This window comes from Homo sapiens, chromosome 11, assembly GCF_000001405.40.
Source record: "Homo sapiens chromosome 11, GRCh38.p14 Primary Assembly".
NCBI lineage: Eukaryota > Metazoa > Chordata > Mammalia > Primates > Hominidae > Homo > Homo sapiens.
Genome location: NC_000011.10, coordinates 85,647,783 through 85,657,280, shown reverse-complemented (window position 1 = coordinate 85,657,280; position 9,498 = coordinate 85,647,783). Strand labels below are relative to the sequence as shown.

The 9,498-nt window shown below is 37.8% G+C and overlaps 1 protein-coding gene across 2 annotated transcripts, besides 1 other annotated feature; it reads right to left on the bottom strand.

Annotated features, from left to right (window-relative positions):
* On the bottom strand, nt 739-9,314 carry TMEM126A (transmembrane protein 126A). 2 transcript variants are annotated; one of them, NM_032273.4, is made up of 5 exons: nt 9,192-9,314; nt 6,940-7,032; nt 3,025-3,218; nt 1,573-1,687; nt 739-972 (listed from the first exon to the last, which is right to left on the bottom strand). In NM_032273.4, exons 2-5 carry the CDS (start codon nt 7,023-7,025, stop codon nt 780-782), a joined length of 588 nt encoding a protein of 195 aa, NP_115649.1. In that variant the 5' UTR covers nt 7,026-7,032; nt 9,192-9,314; the 3' UTR covers nt 739-779. The 2 variants fall into 2 exon arrangements, with proteins under 2 accessions (NP_115649.1, NP_001231664.1); NM_001244735.2 differs by lacking the exon at nt 6,940-7,032.
* Nucleotides 9,064-9,333: an enhancer, noted in NCBI's record as "active region_5367". NCBI's record gives its function as "activates an Ori minimal core promoter by ATAC-STARR-seq in GM12878 lymphoblastoid cells {active_cell/tissue: GM12878}" and the evidence as "EXISTENCE:reporter gene assay evidence [ECO:0000049][PMID:35858748]".

Sequence of the window (9,498 nt, the reverse complement as noted above, 5' to 3'; positions counted from 1 at the left end):
AAAATATTTCCATCATCACAGAACGCTCTGTTGGAGAATGCTGATTTAGTTGCTGTCACAAAATAAAATGGTTTAGAGAACTAGGATGAGAAATGTTAGGAGAACAGAAGAAAGCACATCAAAAATTTAAATGATCTTAGGAAATGAACCAACTAGGATATTTCACTGAGGGTCAGAGAGATTAGTTAATTTTGTGATTCTAAATATGCCACAATAAATGGAAGCTTGAAAGACTACCTAAACTAAAAATACAGCTTTCTAAATAAGGTGACTCGAAGTAGGTAGGTCTATATCATAATAGCTGAAGCTGAGCCTGAATGACTCAAGAAGATGATTGATTTGAGGAAGGTTGTTAAATCAGTTCTAAGAATCTATGGATTAATAATTTGAATTGAGAAAGTGAATTGTGAGTAACATTTGGTATAGTATATTGATAGATATTTTTTCATTTTTTATTCCTGTTTGTCATTATGAAGTCTTCAGTGTAAAATACTATATAGTTACTTTTTCCTCTTGTGTTACAGACCAAACTCAACGCCTAAGGTAGAACAAGCAAGGTAGAAGAGACAATACTGGGCAAACTCGTGAAGTTAAACTTGTTTAAGTGGGTAGCTTTTACTTAGATTCAGCCTTTTGTTGCCCTGTGTAGCCTTTTGTTGTAGGTCCCAGAATTATACCTCGTGATAAATTACAAGTCTATGTTTATGCATAACATTAGACATAACATTAGACATAAACTGTTTTTACCATTTTATTTTTGTTTACATATTTGTTTAAAATCAGTGAATTTCTTTGCCAGGTTCAGATAACTGAAGGGCCTTTATAAGTAGTTTATATTGTTCAGACCCAAGGTATGCTGAAAACATAGTCTGGAGCAAAATAGGAAATAACATCTTTCTAAAGACAGGCTTAGAAGTTCTAATCCAGTAACTTAAGATGTTCCCTTTGTGTGGTAACAGAGCTGATTGATACCTGTAAGAAAACATTGAGATAGTTCAATAGAAAAGATTGTTGCATCAAATGGCAAACCCATCTGTGATACATATTAGTCCTAGAAGTCTTAAGATAAAACTGAATATTAAAGTAAAGGTCTTCAGTGTCTATTAATCCTAAAAACTTTTGTTTCTTTATCCAGTTTGCTTCAAGGCTATAGCATAGATTGCTGATGCAAGAGTTCAACAGAGAATAGCCAGAATTATTTTAGAATAGAAGGCTAATATAACAGCTAGACATTTTCTGATGGAATTTTCCTTTAGTGCAAGTGTTCAAACTCATCCAAGATAATTGTTTATATGATAGAAGTTTCATGCATAATACTGTTTGCAGCTTTGTAGTTAGTTTAGTATTCAGTACACAAATTAAGGTTAATAGCCTAACTACACACCAAGTATAACTGTTTGAAATTCTTGATAAGTAGAATTTCATTATAAGAAAAAACAGGTCTTGCTAACTTCTAATCAAGAGGGTAACATTGCCTTTGGTCTAAATGCCTTAAAAACAAAATATATTTGCTGCTTTAAGTTGTGAGTTTTATAGGTAATCACATATTATAAAAAGTTTTTTATTTCCTACCTGGCTGCTAGACCACCATTTACAGGTATAGCCAAGAAAACAGGGTATAGACCACCAATAACAAGACCAGTCAGTCCACTCCGTGTTATGGTACAGGTTTCACAATCCAAATCACCTAGGAAATAAATTAGTCATAGAAATGAAGGTCATGATAGTCAAGCAAACATGATTTAAAGAATGTAAGATCCTCTTTTGTGTATCACAGGTATTTTTCAGGTAATATATCAAATGTAATTGTACAAAGCCTGTTAAAAGGTATAATTACATCTATGAGTAACTTAAAATAGCTAGGAATAATTGGTAAAACTATTTTAGGAAAAAAAGTTCTCTAATTTGTTCTCAACTTAGATATAATAATCTCATGGTTTGGGCTACTGCTAGCTTTCTGCCTTGTTTTTTATCAACAGACCTAGGCTAATATTTTCACTCAGTCTGTTCAATTAAATGGGCGATAGGTCTTCCTTGATCATAGAAATTGTTTCCACTGGTCATGGGAATTAAAACAAAATACTCGTCAAATTTAAACAAATTTGGAGCAGCACTTAACAAAATTTAGATGGACTGCCTTCCCTAGCACCCATGGTAATATTTTTATTTGAAATAATTAATCAAAAGTTTTTTTTATGATTAACTGTACTCAAAGTATTCAGCACACATGGTAGATTTTCAAAAGGAAATCAAATCTCCATGTATTTGATAAATGTATATGCATTTAGTGCTTTAAGAGATTTACTGTATAAAGAGTTATTCCCATAAAAATATTTTCCCCCTTTAAGGAACTTCTCTATAAAATATAAATAAAAAATCTAAGGTAGCCAACATATTATTTATATACATTTGTATATATATAATATTTCCATATATATAATTTTCATATATATGTATATATGGATTTCCAAATATTTCTTACTCTAAATGAGCACTGTGAGAAAGATATGTTAGAAAAAGGGAAGTATTGCCGGGTGCAGTGGCTCACGCCTGTAATCCCAGCACTTTGAGAAGACAAGGCGGGTGGATCACCTGAGGTCAGGAGTTTGAGACCAGCCTGGCCAACATGGTGAAACCCTGTCTCTACTAAAAATACAAAAAATTAGCCGGGCATGGTGGTGGGCACCTGTAATCCCAGCTACTCAGGAGGCTGAGGCAGGAGAATTGCTTGAACCCAGAAGGTGGAGGTTGCAGTGAGCCAAGATTGCGCCAGGGCACTCCAACCTGGGCAACAAGAGCAAAACTCCATCTCAATTAAAGAAAAAGTATTTAGAACTGCTGTGTATGTGCATCTTGGTTGGTAGACCATACTAATATGAATTATTTGCCACATTATATAGGCTAGCAAGATTTAATCTTAACTGCATTACAGCATACAGCTACTTGATATTAATAAGTATGGACTAAAGCTGCAAATAACATATACTAAGGCAAACTCTTTGGTGATAGTGAAGTAGAATTTACCTGTATTCAAAGGAAAACTTACAAAACATCTGTAAGTTAAGTCTGTTGTAAGAAAAGGTATCCCTGCCATTGGTAAGCCAGCAGCTATGCGAGCCTTTGTCACATTCAAGATGCGTCGAAAAAGACTGTTTGCTATGAGGCCACAAAGAGCAGCATTTAATCCAACATAAACCGATCCATTTTCAAGTAGATTCCTGAAAGGGTGAGAAGAAAGAACTTTTCTTTGGCATTATTGTGTGTGTGAGCTTTCCCGATCTTGACATGTGTTATAGGACTTTGGGAATACACTAACTGGATACGACATCTATCCCTTATAGAACCAAAATCTTAAAAATTGCTTTATATATAGGTTTTTGCTCTTCTCCCAGCAGCCAGTGGGTGCCTCTCCTGAGCTCCCATAATAATTAATACTTAACCTCTCTAGCACAACACATTACAAGACAGTACTATCTTATATAATCACCGATTTACATGTCAGGCTTCTACACTAGTCTTTAAACAACCAGAAGACAATGGATACAAAGATGTATTCAGCCTGACACAGAAGATGTTCAATAATGTGGAGTTAATGTGATTTCTTTCACTCTTCCCTGAAACATTAGTGTCAGGATTGGGAGTATTAACATTTAAGCAATACCCTATGCTAGGTACTTTATAACAACCCATTGATGAGAAATAAACTGATGTTTTCAGGTAGTGGTAGAACTGGATTTGAAGCCAGGTTATGTATGAACTTTTAACTTATGTCCTATGCATTCTTTAGTTTTGGGAAAAAGTAATACCTAACATGATTGCTGAATATTGAAAATACTGACTCCAAACTTTTCAGACTACGACTTAGCTTTTTTACCACTTACATTGCCATCTACAATACAGTCTTAAGATTTTCATTACTCTTAACTAGCCAAAGTAGCCACAGAGTACCTCCTCTAACTTCTATGGCTTACACTCATCTTAAAATAGCTTTTCTAGGAACTCAGCTTCCTACGTTGTATAAGGTATTGCTTTTCTTATCTGACACTTTGCAATCATGATGCCTGTCACTCATTGAGAACCCCACTGTATGCAGCAGACTTAGTGCTAAAGGCACAAAAAATTACCTTCTATCTTCAAGGTTAACATAGTTAAATATTACTGGAGAAGAAAGAGATGTAAACGAGATATAACAGAAGTCTATGAAAATGGTAATGGTGGTACAAGACAGTGGCAGTTCAGGAACTTGGAGTACATAGATTATAATTAGTGATGACAGTCTGGAGAACCTACCAACCACAAAAACCATGTAAATGTGAAAAGCCTATTTTTTTTTTGTGGGGGTTGGAATAAAAAACTTGAACACTTCCTCTAAAATATTTCATCATAAAAATCATGTGAAATGTATATTATCCCCATTTTAAATCCCAATGCTCAGGTAAACAATTTGCCTGTATGTATATATAATATATATAAAATACATATATACATGTTATATATAAGTCCATTTGTTTACAAGTATGTTACATATACAAATAAATAAAAAGTAGTACAAGTGAAATCTGCATAGCAAACTTTGCTCTCTCCCAACCAGATTTTTCCCATAGCTAAGGTCAAAATGTTTAGTTAATTAAAAGTTAGCACAAAATTGTTACCTAGCAGCCCCTTGCCAGTTTTCCAAAAAAGTACCTATACCAACTAAAAACTCATGACTTTTTGATAAGACATACACAAGAAATAGACATGAAATAGCCCAAATTTAACAAATGACAAACATGTACGTGAAAGTATTGCTGTAGATCAGAAAATGAAGTTTTTGATATTAAGAAAGCTCCATACACTGAAGGACATGCCAAGTAACCATTAAATACCTGATTAATAATCCAAGAAGAAATGAAGATTTAAACTTAGAAAATAAAATGGGAATGAAGAGAAAAAATAGGAACAAGGCAAAGATAACAGGACACTGTAATCTGCCTAGTTTAGATGCCAATGATTGAAACATTTATTGCCTCTAAACTAAATTTTACTTTGCAGTTCCAGGTATTCTTTCTAATTTGGTAAAGAACCCAGTGACAGACTGCTTTCTTCTCTTCAAAGCTGCCACCATCTACTCTTTTTTGAGACAGTCTTGCTCTGTCGCCCAGGCTGGAGTGCAGTGGCATGATCTCAGCTCCATGCAACATCCGCCTCCCAGGTTCAAACAATTCTCGTGCCTCAGCTTCTCCAGTGGGTAGGACTACAGGCACGTGCCCCCACATCTGGCTAATTTTTGTATTTTTAGTAGAGATAGGGTTTCGCCATGTTGGCCAGGCTAGTCTTAAACTCCTGACCTCAGGTGACCAGCCCGCCTCCGCCTCCCAAAGTGCTGGGATTACAGGTGTGAGCCACCATGCCCAGCCTACTACTCTTTTATTAGTCTTTCTCACTTTCCCTATCTTGCTGGCCTGGAAACATGGACATAGTTCCTTTTTTGCTTTAAAAGGTTTTCCGTTACCTCAGGAAAACAACTAGAAGGGAGTGGAGTTGGAGTGTGGGGAGGGGGGGTGAAAGAGCTTTTAAGATCTCACCAAGTTCTTACTACTGGCCTTTTTTTTCTTCCCCTTGGAGATCCTTGTTCTGAACACTACTGGTCTTGATTTATGGGTTCTCCCTGATTAAGATGGTAAGTGGCAGCAAGATGGGGATTTGTTCAGTTTCTATTCCTGAAGATAGCAAGATTATGCTTCCAGAATGTATTTTAAATGCATCCTCTTTTCATCTCAGCTGTCACCACCCCTACCATCTCCACTCACCAGGATTACTGTGCCATTTTTTCTACTGGTATTTGTGTTTCCTTTCTTTCCTACCTCAAATCTGCTTTCCAAAAAGCAGCTGGAATGTTCTTTAGAAATGCTAACATCATCCCCCTGCTCAAAACTATTCCTGGTCCTTACTCCCACTTCCTTAGTACTTCGGTAACAATGGTTACTCAAGTACCACAAGCCTTGGCTATCTTGTGGCTAGGCATATGCCATTCCCTCTACTTAAGACACTGTCCCTCTCTCCTTCCCAGGTGGCTGCTTTTCATCCTTTTATAGTCAGAGAGACCTTCTTGACTGTCAACAAAGTGTAAGACATTTTGTGGAAGTACACATTAGCTGCCTGGCAAAGATTAGTATGTTCCCTATATTGGTTTTTCTCTTTAATATCTTTTTTTTTTTTTTTTTTTTTTGAGACGGATCCTCACTCTTGTCGCCCAGGCTGGGGTGTAGTGGTGTGATCTCGGCTCACTGCAACCTCCGCCTCCCTGGTTCAAGCAATTCTCCTGCCTCAGCCTCCCAAGTAGCTGGGATTACAGGCACCTGCCACCACGCCCAGCTAATTTTTGTACTTTTAGTAGAGATGAGGTTTCACCATGTTGGCCAGGCTGGTCTGAACTCCTGACCTCAGGTGATCTGCCCACCCTGGCCTCCCAAAGTGCTGGGATTACTGGCGTGAGCCACCATGCCTGGCCCTCTTTAATAATATCTTAAAGATCTTTAGCCATGATCCTATTTCTCTGACATTCTCTATCTTGCTATGTGTGTTCTATGGTACTCTTAGACTGGTAAGCATACTGACAGAATGAACTGGGAAAAAAAAGACATTTTAAAAGTTAAAGTTTTGTTATTTAAATGGGTCTGTAAATGTTTACATTTTACTATACTCCAAGCCTAATGGAAAAACTCAAAACATTATACAATTAGGTATGTCCAAAGACATGAGTTCCAGCCTCACCTTCCACAATTAGCTATGTGATGTTGAGCAAAATGGTTAAACGCTCTCATCCAGGCAAGAAAAGGGCAATTTCCTTCTCACATTCCATGTTGTTTATACTCAAACCAGATAAACTTGAGATAATGAATCAATGGTGAAAATCCACCTGATAAAAGGTGTTTTTAAATTAAGAAGGGATCTTACCTTTCTGCTTCTGGAAGCTGGTTAATTTTTCTGGATATATCAACAATTGTTATGTTTTCCTTATTATTGGATTTATGATTTTCCATTTTGAGCCTTAAAAAACATGAAGATATCATTTCTCAAGAATTTATACAAAGAATTTTAAAAACCTTCTGAAGACTAAAAATAATACTGTAGAGCTAATCTGAAAAAAATCATTGCATACATATTATTAAAAAAAAATCTAAGTGAAACAGAAACCAGAACATGAAAAGCAACACATAAAGCTTTTAGGAAATACAGAATATCTTCATAATCCTTGAAAGTATTTCCTAAACAATTCACAAATAGCACTAAACATAAAAGACTTATAAAACTAACAGTATTGAAGTTAAGAACCTATGGTTATCAACATATACCATAAAGATAAGCTAGTGGGGGAGAAAATGCAATAGAACTGACAAAAGAGTAGTTAGTACCCAGAACATACATGGAACTACATATCAACATGAAAAAGGTAAGCAGCCCTACGGAAAAACTGACAAAATATTTGAACAGGCACTTCACAAAAAGGAAAGTTAAATGGCCAATAAACATGAAAATATGCTCACCTTCATTATAACTGGGGGAACAACCCACAGTGAGATACCAATAGGTACCCATAGGTTAGCTAAAATCAAAATCTGACAATTCCAATTATTGGCAAGAATGCGGGGTAGCTAAAACTACATTCTGTGTACATTCTGTGGGGTAGCTTTACCCAAACTGTACAGTCACTTTGGGAAAGAATTTGGTATTATTTAGCAGATAGAAGACACACATAGCTAGCAATTTCATTTCTAGGTATACCTGAGATCAGGGCTCAGCAAACTTTAAAGGGCCAGATGTAAATGTGGTAGGCTTTGCAGGTAACATACAGCCTTTGTTGAATATTTGTTTTTAAAAAAACTATAAAAACATAAAAATCATTCTTAGCTGGGTGGCTGTACCAAGGCAAGCTATAGGCTGCATATGGCCTACATGCCAGTAGTTTGTTGATGTCTGCACTAGTTAGGGTGAAAATGTGAAGGGAATGGTGAATGATGAAGATTTGGCTCAGGTTTCAGGGTAACAGTTAAGAAAAACAAAGGCTGGATGCAGTGGCTCACGCCTGTAATCCCAGCACCTTGGGAGGCCAAGGCAGACGGATCACCTGAGGTCAGGAGTTCGAGACCAGCCTGGCCAACATGGTGAAACTCCCTGTCTTTTAAAAATACAAAAATTAGCCAGGCACGGCGGCAGCTGCCTGTAATCCCAGCTACTCGGGAGGCTGAGGCAGGAGAATCGCTTGAACCTGGGAGGTGGAGGTTGCAGTGTGCCGAGATCTCGCCACTGCACTCCAGCCTGGGTGAGAGCGAGACTCGGTCTACAAAAAAAAAAAAAAAAACAGTTCAGGGATAACAACAAAGGAAAACATGCTTTTATGAAACCAGATTTTCTCATTTCCTACAACATTACAGGCACTCGTTTAAATATTTATTGCTACCTGTTTTATATCGATAAGAGGTCATTTGGAAATGTTGATTACCTTGACATTCCATATCTCTAGACTTAAAGCTAACCTAATAAGTACAAAGCAGCCTTAGAAATTTATGTCTAGGTTTCTGGTAGTCAAATTTTTGAGGGCCTTGGCTACGATAAGATGATAAGACACAATCTCTGCTGTACAGGAGCTCTGAATGATTTTGTGTATGGGGTGGTGAAATATATAATCAAATTTAGTATGTATATATTGTACTGAGGGCAATTAAGTCACTCAATTCAGTATAAGTGCTGACTGGGCAGCCCCTGTGGGCATTTTGTCTCCGATATTAATAACAAATATCTATCAAAGACAACGCCGCCTGTAAAAACTACAAATATTTCGAAAGATTTTTGTGTTACCTATCTCATGTCATTCTTGGAAGAGCTCTGAGAGATAGGCAGTGTGGGGCCTATCTGAAAGAGAAGTAAAGTGGGACCTCTGAAAATCAAATTTGGCCGTGGTCACCTTGTAAATTGACAGTAAACCTGGGATTAAATTCAATCTCAGGCATTTCTCCTTTCTACTGAGTTAATTTAAATATAAGGTCTTTCCTTCTAGAGTGCAAAGTGAAAAGACAGCAGGAAGAGCTAACTACACTTCTACTTGCTCTCATTTACGCGCAGCGCTGCTGGTAGCTAGCGTGTCACCGCGTCGTGCTTCTCCTGACACCGGGACATTTACTTCACCCCCTCCCCCGGAATACCAGTACCTTATGCTCTCCTCCCAGCAGCCTGTGGGTGCCTCCTCCTTCCTCAGCCACGCCGGAGTTCACTGTGGCCTTTGCTCAAATTACCTGGGCGCAGCCATCTTTGGCTGACTCGTGACGCGGCGTGGGCGGGCGCCGGGTCGCGGCTGCTAATTGGACTGCGGGACGGAGGTTGCAGCCAGCAGCGGCTTTGGGCTGAGAAGCTTCCGGCCCTAGGAGGTGCCGGGAGGCTAAGCGTTGAGGTTTGTTTGCCTGGCGTAGAGTGTGCTCGTTTCACCTACTCTTGCCTCCCAGGACAGAACTTGTAGAA

Bases quoted from the DNA above. Each gene is read 5' to 3' on its own strand.
- TMEM126A (NM_032273.4), bottom strand. From the start codon at position 7,025: ATGGAAAATCATAAATCCAATAATAAGGAAAACATAACAATTGTTGAT. The intron at 3,219-6,939 runs GTAAGATCCCTT...TCACCCTTTCAG, and splicing joins CAGCTTCCAGAAGCAGAAAG to GAATCTACTTGAAAATGGAT. The intron at 1,688-3,024 runs GTAAATTCTACT...TTTATTTCCTAG, and splicing joins AAGTTTTCCTTTGAATACAG to GTGATTTGGATTGTGAAACC.